The sequence below is a fragment of the Homo sapiens genome, chromosome 14 (genome assembly GCF_000001405.40).
Source record: "Homo sapiens chromosome 14, GRCh38.p14 Primary Assembly".
Taxonomy (NCBI): Eukaryota; Metazoa; Chordata; class Mammalia; order Primates; family Hominidae; genus Homo; species Homo sapiens.
Window position 1 is genome coordinate 90,819,501 of NC_000014.9, and position 19,406 is coordinate 90,838,906.

At 49.8% G+C, this 19,406-nt stretch overlaps 1 long non-coding RNA gene across 2 annotated transcripts, besides 2 other annotated features; it reads right to left on the minus strand.

Annotated features, from left to right (window-relative positions):
- Positions 1–572: 572 nt before the first annotated feature.
- LINC02321 (long intergenic non-protein coding RNA 2321) lies at positions 573–8,674 on the minus strand. Of its 2 annotated transcripts, NR_184259.1 has the most exons (4): positions 8,489–8,674; positions 3,522–3,653; positions 2,187–2,244; positions 573–865 (listed from the first exon to the last, which is right to left on the minus strand). It is a non-coding gene; the product is annotated as a long intergenic non-protein coding RNA 2321 (long non-coding RNA). The 2 variants fall into 2 exon arrangements; NR_184260.1 differs by lacking the exons at positions 573–865; positions 2,187–2,244 and adding an exon at positions 2,654–2,976.
- Positions 4,152–4,352: a silencer, noted in NCBI's record as "peak2229 fragment used in MPRA reporter construct". NCBI's record gives its function as "represses an SCP1 promoter by STARR-seq MPRAs in K562 erythroleukemia cells {active_cell/tissue: K562}" and the evidence as "EXISTENCE:reporter gene assay evidence [ECO:0000049][PMID:32103011]".
- Positions 8,705–8,964: a silencer, noted in NCBI's record as "silent region_6014". NCBI's record gives its function as "represses an Ori minimal core promoter by ATAC-STARR-seq in GM12878 lymphoblastoid cells {active_cell/tissue: GM12878}" and the evidence as "EXISTENCE:reporter gene assay evidence [ECO:0000049][PMID:35858748]".

The following is a 19,406-nucleotide window of genomic DNA, read 5'->3' on the forward strand; positions in this document are numbered from 1 at the left end:
AATAGAGTGCCATGTCGGCTGTCATTCTGTGTCTCTCTGCCCCTTGCAAGCCGCATAGGGCCTGGAACATTGTGGGAGCTTAAATGAACGAGGCTGGAGTCCCCAAGGTCTACAGCCACCTGCGAGTGCGTTTCCTTAGGATGAAACATCCCAATGATGAATCCATGTCACTACGTTCCAGGCTTCCACCGTCACGGCAGGCCACCTACAGGGGCCCAACACCAGAATATTCTTCAGACCATGTGCTTGGGCGCAGAGGTTGCTGGGTATAGGGGTTGGGAGCAGAGGCTGACAAACATTGTCAGCCTGAAGCAGGAGAGAGAAGGAACCCTCTGGGCTTCACCGTGGGAGCCTGAGAGCTGGGCCCTGTGGCCTCTGGGCTCATTTCTGCCTCTGCTTTCCATATCCTGGCCCTCATCCATGGCCCGGGCCACTCTGGCAGCTGCCACAGCAACCCTAGAGAGGTACAAGTGATCCTATGAGGACAAAGTCCCTGGATGGTTCTCCAGGTGACTTTACCTGCAGGCAGCACTCAGCTAAATTCAAGAGTAAGAAGGCATTCGTGCTCATAATAGTAATTAAGGCAGTATCTTTTCCTCTAGGCATTCAGGTAGTACAGGTTTGACAAGGATGTGGAAAATCACAGCCTATAGGCCCAATCCCACCATGGGGCCTAGGGTGCCTGGCAGGAAAGAAGTGGAGGACAGCTGGGAAAGGAGTCTGACTTCTGGCCAATTCCTTGAGAACAGCTGGGGTACCAGGAGGAGTGGAGGCAGGCTGTAGGCTCATTCCAAAGGCCAGTGCAAATAGGGGGCTTGTGTGGTCTGGAGACCTCCCAGTCCTCATCTCCGAAAGCCTGGATTCCCTGTGCAATCAGAATAAGGGAAGAGGTGAGCAGCAAGGGAGCGGGCGTGAGAGAGAAAACAGAGAGAGAGAATGAGAGAGGGATTGTGGCCAGGGTAGGATGGAGAGAGCTTAGGGGAAGGAGACACTGGTGGGAGGAGGGGTCATAACTTTGCCCTTTCTCCTCCCTCACCTGGCCTGGAAGGTTCTTCCCCAGAAACCCATGTGGTCCCTCTCTACCTTCCTTCTGAAGGCAGTGAGGGAGGTCACATCCTCACAGAGACCTTCCCCGACCACTCTGTCCACCTTTGCTCCCCCTCATTCCCTTCACCCTTACCCCCTCACCCTGCTGTAGTTTTCTTCTTGTCCCACCTGATCTATGGTTATTAACTGAGTGTGTATTATCTGCCTCCCCTCACTAGAGCAAAAGCCCCAGGAGGGCAGGGATTTGTGTGTGGTTCTGTTCACAACAGCATTTCCCAGCACTGAGAACGGTGCCTGATGCATGGTGAGTACTCAGTCAATACAGGTTGAATGAATGAATGAGCTGAAGGAAGGTGGAGGGGCTGGGATTGGGCAGGTGAGCATCCTGGTGAACAGCCCCACAGGGAAGTGGAGATCCACTGTCTGAAGCCGATGGGCAGGTTGAAGGGGGAGACAGAAACCCAGAAACGGGGATCCACAAGGGGCCTCAGTGTGCCAGCAGAAAGAATGATCACCTCTAACCTTTGGCCTCACCCTGCCGGGGCAACAGCCCTGTCATCTCGCTGCCAGAGCCAGGGACAGGCCTTGCAGCCCCAGGAGGTGTGAGCCATCAGCAGCTGGTGCTGTGGGCGGTCGCTGCGGCGATGCTCACGGGGAACCTGGAAACCACACCACAGCTTGCAGGCCCGGGGCGTGAGTAATGAGAGTGCAGTCATGATAGCTGGCTTTGGCTGGCTTTTAATTATGTAATATTTGATACATACAAAAATACCCAGAATCAAGGGGCACCTACATAATAAAATAATAAGATGAACACCAGGGAAACTATTGGCTATCCCAGAGTTAACTACATTGTGATTTTTGTGTTTGTTATACCCTTGCTTTGTTTTTTAGCTAGTTTTATCACTAAACTTGCTTTCTGCCACTTCTTATAAGGTGAGTACAACATGTAACCCTATACACCAGAGGTCTCCAAGCTTTTTGGCACCAAGGACCAGTTTCATGGAAGACAATTTTTCCATGGGTAGGGGGAGGTGGGGGGATGGTTTTGGGCTGATTCAAGCGCATTACATTTATTGTGCACTTTATTTCTATTCTTATTGCCTTATAATATATAATGAAATAATTATGAAACTCACCATCATGTAGAATCAGTGGGAGCCCTGAGCTTGTTTTCCTGCAACTAGACGGCCCCATCTGGGGGTGATAAGAGACAGGCATTAGATTCTCATAAGGAGTGTGCAACCTAGATCCCTCACATGCATAGTTCACAGCAGGGTTTGTGCTCCTATGAGACTCTAATGCTGCCGCTGATCTGACAGGAGGCGGAGCTCAGGCAGTACTGTGAGCCATGGGGAGCAGTTGTAAATACAGGTGAAGTTTCGCTTGCTCACCCACGACTCACCTCCTGCTGTGCGGCCTGGTTCCTAATGGGCCACTAGCCAGTACCAGTCTGTGGTCCAGGGGTTGAGGACCCCTGCTATACACGATATCGTTTGGTTTCACTTGTTTTGAGCTTTCTAAAAATGGCGTCGTGTCTTCTTTTCTCTGGTGTGTAATATTCCATGGCATGACTGTGCTACACTTGAATTATCCAACCTCCAGGTTTATCAGACCTCGAGTCTGCAGGTTTGCTTTAATGGACAAGGTTATTGTTTATAAAATCTGCATTAGGCTGTGCACAGTGGCTCACACCTGTAATCCCAGCACTTTGGGAGGTGAAGGAATTTGAGACCAGCCTGATGAACGTGGAGAAACCCGGTCTCTACTAAAAATACAAAATTAGCCAGGCGAGGTGGCGCATGCCTGTAATCCCACCTACTTGGGAGGCTGACGCAGGAGAATCGCTTGAACCCAGGAGGCGGAGGTTATGGTGAGCCAAGATTGCGCCATTGCACCCCAGTCTGGGCAACAAGAGCCAGAGTCCGTCTTAAAAAAAAAAAAAAAAAGCTGCATCAGTGCCATCATTGTCTTGAGCGGGGTTTCTGAGGATGGATTCAGGATGGCTCTGTGCCCCTCCCCCTTGGAGTTCCCTGAGGGTCCCCTAACTTTCTTCCAAAGAGCCACTTCCAGCTGCCTGGAACTATGATTCCCATTGTAGGGACAAAGCAGTGGGAAACTTGCTCGGCAACTCCACTATAGGCACCAAAGCTGGTGCTTCTAATTTACCATCTGTTGCCATCTGAGAGGGACAGCCAGATGGAGAAGGCTAGTTGGCCGCTCAGGGAGGGCCCTGGGTAGCATGAGTCAGGTGTAGAAACCATGGTCTAAAGTTTCAGCTTTGCAAGTCTAGAAATATGTCAGTGTTCCAGGGTGCTCTGCCTAGTCCCACTAATGAAGCCCACCAGAGACCACTGTTTCAATCCCATGCCAACTCTCATTTGCAGTAGAAGCCAACCCCCAGTATCTCATAATCAGGAGACCCCACTCTTAGTGTCAGGAAGCATGCAAAGCTAAAATCATCCTTAACTTACCTGGTGGGCACGGATTCAGAACGAGAGAGGGGAAGGTATCAAGAAGGTGGTCGTCAGCCCTGGAAAAGCTCAGAAGGCCATCTCAGTCTGTTGCAGGAAGTCAGGGACCTCGAATGGAGGGACCGGCTGGAGCTGCGGCAGAGGAACATAAATTGTGAAGATTTCATGGACATTTATCAGTTCCCAGAGTTAATACTTTTATAATTTCTTATGCCTGTCTTAACTGCAATCTCTGACCACAAATTATGAAGATTTCATGGACATTTATCAGTTCCCAAATAATATTCTTATAATTTCTTATGCCTGTCTTTACTTTAATCTCTTAATCCTGTTATATTTGTAAGCTGAGAATGTACGTCACCTCAGGACCACTATTGTATAAACTGATTGTAAAACATGTGTGTTTAAACAATATGAAATCAGTGCACCTTGAAAAAGAACAGAATAACAGCGATTTTCAGGGAACAAGGGAAGACAACCATAAGGTCTGACTGCCTGTGGGGTCGGGCAAAATACAGCCATATTTTTCTTCTTGCAGAGAGCCTATAAACAGATGTGCAAGTAGGAGAGATATCGCTGAATTCTTTTGCCAGCAAGGAATATTAATAATTAATACCCTGGGGAAGGAATGCATTCCTGGGGGGAGGTCTATAAACGGCCACTCTGGGAGTGTCTGTCTTACATGGTTGAGATAAGGACTGAAATATGCCCTGGTCTCCTGCAGTACAGTACCCTCAGGCTTATTAGGGTGGGGAAAAGATCCCACCCTGGTAAATTTGTGGTCAGACCGGTTCTCTGCTCTTGAACACTGTTTTCTGTTGTTTTAAGATGTTTATCAAGACAATATGTGCACAGCTGAACATAGAGCCTCATCAGTAATTCTAATTTTGCCCTTTGCCTTGTGATCTTTGCTTCGCCCTTTGCCTTGTGATCTTCATTGCCTTTTAAAGCATATGATCTTTGTGACCTACTCCCTGTTCATACACCCCCTCCCCTTTTAAAGTCCTTAATAAAAACCTGCTGGTTTTGCGGCTCAGGCGGACATCACAGACCTACCGATAGGTGACGTCACCCCCGGAGGCCCAGCTGTAAAATTCCTCTCTTTGTACACTTTCTCTTTATTTCTCAGACCTGCCGACACTTAGGGAAAATAGAAAGAATGTACGTTGAAATATTGGGGGCTGGTTCCCCCAATATCAGTCCCGCTGTTGAACCCATTTCTCCACAGTTGAGAATATCCACATGTCCAAAGCCTATCTCCCCCTGCCCAGAATGAGGCTGGACCAGCTCTGTGAATTTTTACTTCTTATCTCCATACATTCCAACCTTGCACAGGCTGTAGACACCATAACAATTAAGCTGATTTTGGTTTAAGCCTGTAAAATAGTAACTTTTGTGTAACAGGAGGGTTTTTTGTTGTTGTTGTTCTGTTTTTTACTTTAGAGACAGGGTCTCACTATGTTGACCAGGGTAGTCTTGAACTCCTGACCTCAAGCAACCTCCCACCTCAGCCTTCCAGAGTGCTGGGATTACAGGCATGAGCCACCATGCCCAGCTTTTTTTTTTTTGAGACGGAGTCTCGCTCTGTTGCCCAGGCTGGCATGCAGTGGTGCGATCTCGGCTCACTGCAAGCTCCACCTCCCGGGTTCACACCATTCTCCCGCCTCAGCCTCCTGAGTAGCTGGGACTACAGGTGCCCGCCACCACGCCCAGCTGATTTTTTGTATTTTTAATAGAGATGGGGTTTCACCGTGTTAGCCAGGATCGTCTCGATCTCCTGACCTCGTGATCCGCCCACCTTGGCTTCCCAAAGTGCTAGGATTACAGGCGTGAGCCAAGATGCCCGGCCATTTATTGTATTTTTAGTAGAGACAGGGTTTCACCATGTTGGCCAGGATGATCTCGAACTCCAGACCTCGTGATCCGCCCGCCTCGGCCTCCCAAAGTGCTGGGATTACAGGCATGAGCCACCGTGTCTGCCCTTTTTCTTTCTTTCTTTCTTTGTTTTTTTTAGAGACAGGGTCTTGCTTTGTGTCTCTTGGGCTGGCATGCAGTGGCACCATCATAGCTCACTGCAGCCTTGAACTCCTGGGCTCAACCAATCCTCCTGCTTCAATCTCCCAAGTAGCGCCGCCATGTCCAGCTAACTTTTTTTAATTTTGTAGAGATGGGGGTCTTGCTTTGTGGCCTAGGCTGGTTTGAGCTCCTAAGCTTGAGTGATCCACCCACCTTGGCCTCCCAAAGTGCTGGCAGTACAGGCATGAGCTGTGATGCCCTGCCTGTAATAGGAATCTTCAGGAGTGTTTTCCTCACACTCAGAGTTCTGGGGACACTTCCGTGTTACCCTGTACCCCACCTGTCCTATCTTCTCCAAAAAAGGCATAGACTGGGTTTGTGATAAAATACCCACCTATATCTGTAAATGAACATCAAAGTAAAGATGGGAAACTATTCAGATACGGGGGAGAAAGGTGTATCTGCCAACAGGGAGGAGACTGACTGTTCCTCAGCATAAGGCTAGACTGATTTCTGAGCTTCCTAGCAGACCAGGCACAGAAGAAAACACGTGGAATGGTTTTATTTATTTAATTTTTTTTTTTTTTTAGATGGAGTCTCACTCTGTCACCCAGGTTGGAGTGCAGTGGCTTGATCTCAGCTCACTGCAACCTCCGCCTCCTGGGTTCCAGCAATTCTCCCTGCCTCAGCCTCCCAAGTAGCTGGGATTACAGGAATCTGCCACCATGCCCAGCTAATGTTTGCATTTTTTAGTAGAGACAGGGTTTCACCATGTTGGCTAGGCTGGTCTTGAACTCCTGACCTCAGGTGATCTGCCCACCTCGGCCTCCCGAAGTGCTGGGATTACAGGTGTGAGCCACTGCGCCTGGCAGAATGGTTTGATTTAAATGATGTTGTTGATTCACATATCAGGAGTTTGTTTGTTTGTTTGTTTTTTGAGATTAAAGTCTTGCTCTGTCACCCAGGCTGGAATGCAGTGGCACAATCTTGGCTCACTGCAACTTCTGCCTCTGGGGTTCAAGTGATCCTCCTCCCTTACCTTCCCAAGTAGCTGAGATTACTGGCATATGCCACCACGCCTGCCTAATTTTTGTATTTTTAGTAGAGACGGGATTTCACCATGTTGGCCAGTCTGGTCTCGAACTCCCGACCTCAAGTGGTCTGTCCACCTCAGCCTCCCAAAGTGCTGGGATTACAGGTGTGAGCCACCACGCCCAGCTGACATCAGGAGTTTTAAAGAGAAATCACGAACTAGGTGGGCACAAGGGACCTGGTTGTTCCTGGGGAGTTGTATCAGCAAACAGGTTTGAAGTTTGCACTTCGGACACGTTACTGTGAAAAAAAGAAACTAATTCTCATTTTGTGTGAAGGAGCCTGATAGACACAGGATCTGCTTCAGTGAGGAATTGTGAGTGATCTTCCCCTGCACAAGGCCAATAGGGTGCAAGGTTTCCACAGTTCAATTCAACAAACGTTTATTGAGTACCTACTATGTGCCGGACACAGTGTTAGGCCTTAGTGATACAATATTGTGTAGGGTATGGTCCCATCCCTCAAGGAACTCACAGTCTAGTGGGGGAAAGAAGTGAGCAACAGCTCTGCAGCCGGACCCAGAGGAACGCCAGGAATTAACTGTGGTGGGTGCTCCAGTAAGTCTTCCTGGAGAATGTTGCCCCCAAGCCAAGCCTTGAAAAAGGATCTCAGGTCCAGTCTGCTCACCAACCCTCACCATCTAACAAAGTGGTCCTGGGTTTTCAAAACTCTTGCACTCAAAATAGGGTCCCAGTATTCAGACATATGCAGTCCCAGATCACCCCCGACCATCAGATGAGAAAAACCCAACAATCTGGTCTCCTTTCCTGCAGCAAAGCACTTGGTGGTCAGAAGGGTTGGGGGTGAAGGTTTATGGGATCTGCTGGACAGCTGGTGAGGCATACAGACACTTCTGGTTATTATCTTTCTCCCAAATCAAATGCTAAAGGTACTAAAACCATGCTGACTGCATGAACCATTCCCTGGGGACTGGTAGGGCATTCCATTCCTCCCCACATTTGGGAGTCCAAACTGGGGTGGAGGGGTAAGAAGTAAAAGGTCTGGGTCAAGTGCTGCCCATCAGCTTGTTCATGATCAGGTACCCTTCAGTTTCCTTATTTGTAAGAGGAGAGTGCTAGTCAAGGAGGTCCTGGGCTCTGGTCGTTGATTCTGTCCTGTCAAAGTGAGAGTGGCTGGAATGGGATTGGTATATGGGTGCTCCCATACAGCTGAGGTTCCTTTCTGAGCTCTCAGGAAGCAAATTAAAAAAAAAATAATAATAATTACCAGGTGAGATGGCTCACAGCTGTAGTCCCAAGCACTTTGGGAGGCCGAGGCGGGTGGATCACCTGAGGTCAGGAGTTCGAGACCAGCCTGGCCAACATGATGAAACCCGTCTCTATTAAAAATACAAAAATTAGCCGGGTGTGGTGGTGGGCACTTGTAATCCCAGCTACTCGGGAGGCTGAGGCAGAAGAATCGCTTAAACCCGGGAAGCAGAGATTGCAGTGAACCAAGATCACTCCACTGCACTCCACCCTGGGTGACAGAGTGAGACTCCATCTCAAAAAAATAAAAAATGAAAAATAAAAATAAAACGAATAATAATAATAAGGCATCTGAAAAAACTCTTGAAGTTAGGAAACCTGGATTTGATTTTCATCTCTGTAACTGACCTGCCGTGTGACCTTGTGAAAGGCGTGTCCCCTCTCTGGGGGTGTCAGTGGACTAATTCCCGAGTTAGCTGTGGGGGGAGATGATCACTGGCATTTAACAGTAAGGTGGGGCTTCAGAAGTCCATCTACTGCGAAGCAAGAGAAAACTCCACGGAATACACGACTGAAACGAGTGGGAAGCCAGATGTGTCACGGACGTAGGGAGGGGAAGATGAAGGTCCCAGCAAAATCCCGGGAACATACCTGTCAAAGGGTCAGCGAGAAAACCAGTCCCTTGGCTGGTTGAAAGGAACACTTGATTCTTTGTCAGAAAGCAGCCTTGCGCTTCTAAGGGGTCTGCTGTCTGAAAGAAGCCTTCGAGGCTCGCAGACCTGGGGAAGAACTCAACCTGCCTTCAGCCCATGGGGACTGGGGCCGGCGCGGCTTTCTGGAATCGAACGGAACGAGGCGACCAGGCGCGGCGGCGGCAGCCAATGAGGGAGCCTCCTGATGAGGTCATGCAGTTCCTGGGCGCTTCATTGGCGGATCCTTCGCGGGGCCGCGGCGGGGGCCGCAGGGCGGAGCGAGGCGGGGCGAGGCGGGGCGGAGGCGGTGCCTGCCAGAGCCCGGACCTAAAACCGCGGTTCGATTTTCCTTATTTCCTCCCAGCGCTTATTTCCCCTGAGCGCGATGGGTCAGGCCCTTCTTAAGAGAGCAGTGAAAATACCCAGAAAAAAGGGCTTTTACTCACTCCAGAGACTGGGTTTACTTATTTTGGGTGAGCCCTCATTTTCTTTAGTAAAAGTGGAGGGTTGTTTAGTTTTGTTTCAATCCAGGCCAAACGCACTATTAACTCTAACCATTTAGCAACGCTGAGAGAATGTCCCTTGGTAGCCTTTTATTTGCCCACTGTGGTCCTCTAACCCGCTGTGTTGGGAGCACCGAACACCAGCTTTGTTCCACAGACGTGGAAACAGACCCAGGCGACTTGCCCAGGGTTATGTGGCCATTCAGTGGGACAGTGGGGGAACAGAGAACTAAGCTTTTGGTCCCTGCTGCCTGCCCAGGGGACCCACTCTCATGACCCTGGGTCACAGCCCAGGGCTCCCCACAGCCCAGGGCTCCCCACAAGGAAAGGCAGTCAAGTCAACCTTGCTGCTTCCTGTTGCAAGCTTTTGATACATCAGTTTCATTTTCAAAATACCGCCCAGAGTAGTCTATGGTCAGCAGAAAGATGCTGACAGCACTGTCTATTCTAGGAAGTTATTTTCGAATGAACTACAGTGTGAGGGACGGTTGGAATGTCCCTGATGCTGAAGGAGCCTGGCAGCTATTACGCTGGTCCTCAGCCCACCAGGCCTTCCTTTTTAAGAGGTATCTAGGAACTTGCATAATGCCTCTGTTTTGTTGCAGTCTAAGGGCGCTGACCCTTTGCCCAGAGAGAAGCGGAGTTTTAAGTGATGTGTACAGGACACTCTTCTAAGGATGAGACCCTGGCACTTGGCCTGGGCCCTCAAATATGCGTTGAATGACTGATACAGCCTGAATGCCTGTTATCAGACTCAGAGATTGTGTGGGCCAGGGAAGGCAGGCAGCAGAGAGAGTGCGGGCAGGCCGGGCGCGGTGGCTCACACCTGTAATCCCAGCACTCTGGGAGGCCGAGGTGGGCAGATCACTTGAGCTCAGGAGTTCAAGACTAGCCTGGGCAACATGGCAAAACCCTGTCTCTATTTTTATTTAGAAAGAAAGAAAGAGAGCGAGAGAGAGAGAGACAAAGAGAAAGAAAGAAAGAAAAAGAAAGAAAGAAAGAAAGAAAGAAAGAAAGAAAAAGAAAGAAAGAAAGAAAGAAAGAAAGAAAGAAAGAGGAAAGAGCAGAGTTAGATGGCCTCACTCGTGGGAGGATGCCATCTGTCATCTGGGATCTTTATCTCCTTTCCTGTATTTGAGGAATCCCCCACCAGAGACACTGAAAATGCCAGGCACTCACTGTGCCAGACCCCCTTGTTTCTACAGTGAGGGGTGGGGGACCTCAACCCTGCCAGGCAGACGCCACTCAGAAAGCAGGTGCAGGAGCGTGGGCAGCCTCAGCCTGATTCGGAGGCATCCCAGGTGGCAACTGCTCTGGCAGGCCATGTGAGTGGGGCTGGGGTGCACTTGGGTATCTGTGCCCAGCAGTGGTGGCAGCACTTTTCCTCCCTGCCAGACCAGTCCTGCGGAGGATGTCCAGCCTCCCAGCCTGGGTCCCTTCCTCCCAGAATGTGTGCACCTGATGTGATGAATTCCACTTCTACCTAAATCAGCCAGAGCTGGTTTCTGTGGTTTCTAGCAGAGAACTGGACTGCTGGAGGAGGCTTCCTGTAGGAGGGACAGGCACTGGCTAGGCAAGAAAGGATGGGCGCCCAGGTAGAAAAAATGGCACCAGGCTAAGGGTGGGGAGGAGACGGAGGACGGAGAGGCATCGTGGTACCATCTTCCTTCAGACCAAGTCACAAGTTTCAGAATTGTGTGGAAGGAAGCAAGTCACATTGCTGGGTCGGGTATCCTCCAGCCTCTCACAGGAGTTATAAAGGGTCCTAGGAGTCATGATTGGGCTGGAGGGGTTTCCTGCAGGTCTGCTTTTTCCCCTTTGAGCCTTCCTTCCTTCCTTCTTTTTTTTTCTTCAGACAGAGTCTTGCTCTTATCACCCAGGCTAGAGTGCAATGCCGAGATCTCAGCTCACTGCAACCTCAGCCTCCTAGGTTCAAGCGATTCTCCTGCCTCAGCCTCCTGAGTAGCTGGGATTACAGGTGCCTGCCACCACGCCTGACTAATTTTTATATTTTTAGAGACAGAGTTTCCCCATGTTGGGCAGGCTGGTCTCAAACTCCTGACCTCAGACGATCCGCCCGCCTCAGCCTCCCAAAGTGCTGGGATCTGAGCCTTTTACTCAAGAAACTTGGGCTTTTCTTCCCCAGTGGGAAGGGAGGTTAGGTTTAAGAGAGGAGATCAGGCTCCTGGTAGCCTTTTACTAGGCGGGCTTCTCTGATTTTATTAGGAAGCCTCAGTGTGCTCCCCAATAGGTAAGTCCTTCACCTGAAGTACAATTTTAACTTGGGGTGAAGACTTTCTTTTTAGAATGAAAGATGAGGCTTAAAATGCCCCTTTCCCCAGCCCTAACGCAGCCCTTGCATTTCCACCTTTGATGGGCGAACTCACTCCAGTGGGGCTGGCCCTTTGCCGCTCTGTGTTCATTGACATGGGTGTTGGGAGGACGCTATTCCCTGAGCCACCCTTTCCCAGGTGGGGAAACTCTGGTGGTGCTGGGGGCCTGGGGATGAGCTGCCTTCTTTGGAGCAGAGTTTGAGAGAGCAAGGAGGGCTCAGGAGCCTGGGGATGGAGGTGAGGTAGGGAAAGCCTCCAGAAGGCGGGCAGGGGCTGGCATCCCGGACCGGCGCTTCCCACCCCTCTTCTCAGGCCTCCTCCCCAGCAAAGGTGCCAGACGCCCTGGGCTGTCGCCGTTCCCCCATGGGGCAGTAAGAGCTCTCTAAACCTCAGACTTCCACAGACCTGCCTCAGATGGACCCCCAAGAAAGGAGGAAGCCAGCTCTCAGGGACTGAGCTGCAGGCCCAACATCTCCTCCCTACCCCAGGCTCAAACCATGAATGCCGCACAGCGCTGCGTGCATGTCCACGAGGACGTGCCCAGCAGGCATCTGCCAGCACAGCGGGCTTTCACAGCACAATCTGGACAGAAGCTGACGAGGACATAGCTCTCCGACAGCACTTGCCATTCTGGGTGCACAACCCAGCGCCCCGCCCCTGCTGCCTTTGCGGACCATTCACTCTGGGCGTCAGCTTCTCCCTGATCCCTTCCTGGTGGGCTTAGAGTCCCAGGTGCCACAGTTTGTGCCTCGGCGCTCGTTGCATCCCCCAGGGCGCCCATCACCCATGGGCTGGGCCTCAGCAGGCCCTCAACAGGCACCCGTCAGTTCACCTGTCCATTCAGTGACCCCCCAAAGGAGGGAGAAGAAACATCCCTGCCGAACGCCACCACCCTCTGCCCCAGGCTCACCTCCTCCCCAGGAGGAAGGACTGGTTGGGGTTTCCAGCTTTTCCTTTCATCATTTTGTCTTACACTTTGTGCCATTCCTGTCATGAGCACCCACAGTTCCTCTTCTGGCAGAGGTATTTGGGTATTCATTTGCTTCTCCAAACAGACTAGGAGTCTCAGAAAGGCCAGGCCTGGGTCCTGACCATGTCACCATCTCCCACATCATCTGGCGCGTCGTTGGCGGGCCACATGGTTTTTGAATGAAGGCGCAGTCATAGAGTGGAGCTGTCATGCTGAGAGGCCGCCCACCCCTACGACACTCGGGAAGTATGTGTGTGTTGGAATGTGTGATTTTAAAAAAAGTTGTCTGAGAGATAGATCCCATAGCATGCGGTTCCCAATTTAAAGCACAGAATTCGGAAGTTAGTAGTATATTTACAGACATGTGCAACCATCACTACAGTCCACTTAGGAGCACTTTTTTCTAAATGCTCCCAAAAAAGAGACTCCATGCCCATTAACAATCACTCCCTATTTCCCCTCATGATAATATATATATATATATATACACACACACACACACACACACATTATACATATATATATATATTCATCCACAGTTCCTGATTCATAACTCCCAAAGCCCTCTTTGACCTTCTCCTACCCTCCTTTTACCTGCTACAGAGGGTCCTGCCTCATACCTTGGAGAAAAGAATGCTACACAGAAAGGGAAAAAAGAATTGGAACAGATGGCCAGGTGCAGTGGCTCACACCTGTAATCCCAGCACTTTGGGAGGCCAAGGCAGGCGGATCAGGAGGTCAGGAGATCAAAACCAGCCTGGCTAACACAGTGAAACCCCGTCTCTACTAAAACATACAAAAAAAATTAGCCCGGCGTGGTGGCGGGCGCCTGTAGTCCCAGCTACTCGGGAGGCTGAGGCAGGAGAATGGCGTGAACCCGGGAGGCAGAGCTTGCAATGAGCCAAGATCACGCCACTGCACTCCAGCCTGGGCGACAGAGCGAGATTCTGTCTCAAAAAAAAGAAAAAAGAACCCCAAGAGGATTGGGCTGGAGAGCTCTAGACAGCTGACCACAAGGAGGTTTCTGGAGGCAGGTGCACCTGCGGGGGGCATGGAAGCTCCATACCCCTTCCCACGTGCCTCACCCTATGCATCTCTTCATCTGTATCTTTACAATATCTTTTATAATCAACTGGTAAACTTAAGTTTTCCCTCGAGTTCTGTGAGCAGCTCTAGCAAATTAATTCAACCCAAAGAGGGGGTTGTGAGACCCCCCAGCTTAAAGCTGGTTGGTCAGAAGTTCCAGAGGCCTGGACTTGTGACTGGTGTCTGCAGGAAGAGGCAGTCTTAGGGACTGAGCCCTCTACCTGTGGGAACTGACCCTAGCTCCACACAGGTAGTATCAGACCCAGCTGGTGCCTACTGCTTGTTGGTAGGGAAACCGCCCCCCTTGGTCACAGAAGTCTGTGTTGATTGTTGTGGCATGAAAACAAAAGAAATACAGGTTTGAGTTTTTCCAAAACATCCCCTACCGGCCGGCCCTAGGATTTTCTGTCTCCATGGATTTACCTGTTCCCGCCATTTCACATACATGGACTCATACAACATGAGGTCTTTTATAACTGACTTCTTTGACTTAACACAATGTTTTCAAGGTTCCTCCATGTGGTAGCCTGTACCAGCACTTCATCCAACTTTATGGCCACTAATATTCCATTGCGTGGGTGCCACATCCACTCATCCACTCATCAGTAGATGGGCATCAGCCTGATTCCACTCTTTGGCTATTGTGATGCTGCTATGTGCATTTTTGTACAAGTTTTTGTGTAGACGTACATTTCCATTTCACTTAGGTGTAGAAGTAGGAGTAGAATTGCTAGGTCATGCTGGTAACTCTATGTTTAACCTTTGGAAGAACTAGTAAACCGTTTTCTAAAACAGCTGCATCGGCCGGGCGCGGTGTAATCCCGCCTGTAATCCCAGCACTTTGGGAGGCCGAGGCAGGTGGATCACGAGGTCAGGAGATCGAGACTATCCTGGCTAACACGGTGAAACCCCGTCTCTACTAAAAACACAAAAAATTAGCCGGGTGTGGTGGCGGGCGCTTGTAGTCCCAGCTACTCGGGAGGCTGAGGCAGGAGAATGGCGTGAACCCGGGAGGCGGAGCTTGCAGTGAGCCGAGATAGCGCCATTGCACTCTGGCCCGGGCGACAGAGCGAGACTCCATCTCAAAAACAAACAAACAAACAAAATGTGCATCATTTTACGTCTCACCACCAATGTATGAGGTTTCCATTTCTCCCCATCCTCCACATCTCCCTTTTGTTTCTTTTTCATATCTGTCATTTTGAGGCTAGCCATCCCAGTGTATGCGAAGTGGCATTACACTGTGGTTTTGATTTGCATTTCTTTGATAACTAATGATGTTGAGCAACTTTTCAGGTGCTTATTGGCCATTTGTCCATCTTTGAAGAATTCTGATTCTTTGCTCATTTTTAAATTGGGTTACTTGGGTTTTTTTTTTTTTTTCTTTCATTATTGAGTTGTAAGAATTATTTATGGCTGGGCGCGGTGGCTCACACCTGTAATCCCAGCACTTTGGGAGGCTGAGGTGGGCGGATCACCTGAGGTCAGGAGATCGAGACCAGCCTGGTCAACATGGTGAAAACCCATCTCTACTAAAAATACAAAAAATTAGCCAGACGTGATGGCAGGCGCCTGTACTCCCAGCTACTCAGAAGGCTGAGGCAGGAGAATCGCTTGAACCCAGGAGGCAGAGGTTGCAGTGAGCCGAGATTGCGCCACCTCACTCCAGCCTGGGTGTGACAGAGCAAGACTCCATCTCAAAACAAACAAACAAAAAAGTTATTTATACATTCTAGATACACGTATCTTATCAGATATATAATTTGCAAGTATTTCTTCCATTCTGTGCATTTTCACTGTATTGACAGTGTTCCTTGAGGTGCAAATTTTTTTCTTTTTTTTTTTGAGATGGAATCTCGCCCTGTTGCCCAGGCTAAAGTGCCATGGCACGATTTTGACTCACTGCAGCCACCGCCTCCCGGGTTCAAGCAATTCTCCCGCCTCAGCCTCCTGAGTAGCTGGGATTACAGGCACCTGCCACCATGTCCAGCTAATTTTTGTATTATTAGTAGAGATGGGGTTTTTCACCATTTTGGCCAGGCTAGTCTTGAACTCCTGACCTCAAATGATCCTCCCGCTTCGGCCTCCCAAAGTGCTGGGATTACAGGCATGAGCTACCACGCCTGGCTGCAAATGTTTTTGATGAAGTTCAATTTATCTAATTTGTTCTTTTGTCACCTGTGTTTTGGGTGGTGTACTTAAGAAACCATTGCGTAATCTGAGGTCGTGAAGATTTATAGCTATGTCTTATTCTAATAATTTTGCAGCTCTAGCTCTTCGGATGAGGTCTGTGATCCGTTTTGAATTAATTTTTTGTATATGGTATTAGGTGGGGGTCCAAATTTACTCTTTTTTTTGAGATGGAGTCTCGCTCTGTTGCCCAGGCTGGAGTGCAGTGGCACAATCTCAGCTCACTGCGAGCTCCGCCTCCCGGGTTCATGCCATTCTCCTGCCTCAGCCTCCCCAGTAGCTGGGACTACAGGTGCCCGCCACCACACCCGGCTAATTTTTTTTTGTATTTTTTTAGTAGAGACGGGGTTTCTACTAAAAACGGGGTTTCTACTGGCTTACAGGCGTGAGCCACTGCACCTGGCCCAAATTTACTCTTTTACATGTGGATATCTGGTTGTTCCAGCACGATTTATTGAAAAGACAATTCTTTCCCTTATTGAATAATGTTGGTGCTCTTGTCAAAAACCAATTTACCATAACTGTATGGGTTTATTTCTGAACCTGAATTTTATTCCATTGACTTATATGGCTATCCTTATGTCAGTATCACACTGTCTTGATTATTGTAGTTTTGCAGTAACTTTCAGAATTGGAAAATGTGAGGTCTTAGTTTTGTTCTTCTTTTATAAGATTGTTTTGATTGGGGGGGGCTCCCTTTTATTTCCATATTAAAATTCAGATCTGTCAATGTCTGCGAAAAGAGCAGGGATTTTGATTGGGCTTGTGTTTGAATCTGTAGATCCATTTGAGGAGTACTGCCATTTTAAGACTATGAAGTCTTGGCCGGGTGCGGTGGCTCACATCTGTAATCCCAGCACTTTGGGAGGCCGAGGCAGGTGGATCATGAGGTCAGGAGATCAAGACCATCCTGGCTAACATGGTGAAACCCCGTCTCTACTAAGAAAAATACAAAAAAATTAGCCGGATGTGGTGGCGGGTGCCTGTAGTCCCAACTACTCAGGAGGCTGAGGCAGGAGAATGGGGTGAACCCAGGAGGCGGAGTTTGCAGTGAGCTGAGATCGCGCCACTGCACTCCAGCCTGGGTGACAGAGCGAGACTCCTTCCTGAGGTGAAAAGTGGGGAGGGCCGGGAGAGGCCCTGAGGCTTTATCCTCCCAGCACTGGGGCACCACACAGGGGGTTGCAGTGGGAATGATCAGATTGGAATTTTTATTTATTTTTCAGATTTAAATTTTTAGATGGTCATTGAGGTGATCCAACCTCTAAAATCCCTGATCACGGTCTAACGCAGAAGCCCTGGCCCCCACTCTGGGAACCCAGGCCCAGGAGCGCCTTTGGGGTGGTTTGTTGTTCTCCTCTGCGGTCAGATCAGGGGCCCCCGTGTAGAAACCACAGCCCAAGCTACTTCCATTTACTTAGCAGCAGGGGAGTTTCCTTGGCTCCCAGAGGCACCCTGGGCTGGCCCTTAGGCCCTCTCTGAGATGGAGACCCTGGATGCCAGGGCACACGGGGGCATTTCTGGGCTGACGGGCTCTGAACTTGTGCCTGGGAAGGGGAAGTTTTCCCACAAGCCTTCTCTCTTCCTCTCCAAAATCTCAGGAAGCTACAGAGCCACCTTCTGACAAGGGAGGAGAGCTTGGTCAGCAGGGCCCAGCTGCGAGGGTGAAGTTGTGCCCAGCTGCGAGGGCGAAGGTGTGCCCAGCTGTGAGGGTGGAGGGGTGCCCTGTGAGGGCGGAGGGGTGCCCAGCTATGAGGGTGGAGGGGTGCCCTGTGAGGGTGGAGAAGTGCCCAGCTGTGAGGGTGGAGGGGTGCCCAGCTGTGAGGGTGGAGGGGTGCCCAGCTGTGAGGGCGGAGGGGTGCCCACCTGTGAGGGCGGAGGGGTGCCCACCTGTGAGGGCAGAGGGGTGCCCAGTGCGGGCAACTTCACCTTCATGATTAGCATTTGCACAGTGTGAGGGGTGCTGCTGAGCAGACAGAATCAGCTGAGACACCCACTCCTCCGTCAAGAAGCTGGGTTCTAGATCACCATACTCCTCCTGTGGGGCCTGTTTATTTGGGGTGTCTGTGTGCAAGGCTAGGAATGACGTCTCTGTCTTTCTCTAAGAAAAATTTCTAAATTAAAAAAGAAAGCCAAATACCACAATATGTCCAGGGTTGAGCCATCTCTGAGGGTCTTTTCTGCAGAATACAAGTAAGTCACTCTACAGTTCTGAGCCTCAGTTTTCTTGCTTGCAAAATATTTTTCAACCAGAAAATATCTCAGTGTAAGAGTGCCTGGACACCCCATGTTCCCTGGCGGCACCCCATCTCCGGCAGCAGCCAACTGTGCAATGTCCCCAGGAAACATCCACCTTCTAAAGGGCAGTCATCAGCGAACAGAGTTTTGTGTGGTTGAAGTTGTTCTTCAAGTACCTTTGGAATGAAAACTATGGTATCATGATGCATGAGTTGGCCAATTATTCTTCCCGACTCCTGAAAGTAGTTCAAGTTTGGTCTTTAGTTATTCAACACAGAAGCAGCACGATATGTTTATCTGTTCGAACAGAGGTTTTGATTTCACAGATGAAAGAGAAACGCTTGTTACTTCACATGCGGACTGCGAGATGTAGACTGGCTTGCCCTGATGGAAGACTTCTCAGAGAACATATATGGCCCCTAATTATAGTGGGCACGTCATCGCTTGAAAGTAAAGTGCACTGGGCCGGTGGTAACCCCAGCACTTTGTGAGGCCGAGGCAGGCGGATCACCTGAGATCAAGAGTTCGAGACCAGCCTGGCCAACATGGCAAAACCCCATCTCTACTAAAAATACAAAAAGTAGCCAGGTGTGGTGGCGCACGCCTGTAATCCCAGCTACTCAGGAGGCTGAGGCAGAAGAACTGCTTCAACCCGGGAGGAAGAGGCTGCAGTGAGCCAAGATCGCACCACTGCACTCCAGCCTGGGTGCTGGGTGACAGAGCGAGACTCCGTCTCAAATAAATAAATAGAAGGTAAGGTGCACCATTGATTGGGAGACAACACACAGGCTTTGATTGAGGCGGGGACTTGTGTTCTTTCCAGTTGTGAAGGGGACAGGCCGTGTGCTCCAGCATCAACAGACTAATGAAGTCAACACAAACTTGCTGCAGTTTCCATGCCTTTCTTCCTCCAGGATGGAAATTAATACCTGGCCTCTACTGAGCCCCTTTTCAAACTTTATCTCAGAAGAAAACCTTCACTTTTAGATGCCATGCCTTAACAGAATATGGCCAATTATTCCTTTACCCTGCATCACCACAGAGCAACACCCAGCACAGGGTGGGTGAAGGAGGGGTCAGAAACACAAAGCCAGTCTGAAATATTTAACTCTTTCCACTTTACCCTAGAGCACCAAGATGTTCTGAATGCTTTCAGTATTTTGGAAAGCTCTGCGCTTCCATTTTTTGTCTCTCGGATTTGATCAAACTCAATTCCATAAGCATTTATTATGCAGCTACCAAATGTTTGGGATGGCGCTGACCTCCCCTGTCCACCACCAAAGGAAACAAAAGTGGAGGAAAATGTCCCTGTCCTGGAGTTTGGGATCTGCTGGAAGACAAATGTCTTGTTAAAAAGCCAGACAAGGGGCTGGGCACGGTGGCTCACACCTGTAATCCCAACACTTTGGGAGGCCGAGGTGGGTGGATCACCTGAGGTCAGGAGTTTGAGACCAATCTGGCCAACATGGTGAAACCCCATCTCTACTAAAAATAAAAATAAAATAAAAATAAAAATTAGCCGGTCGTGGTGGCGGGTGCCTGTAATCCCAGCTACTT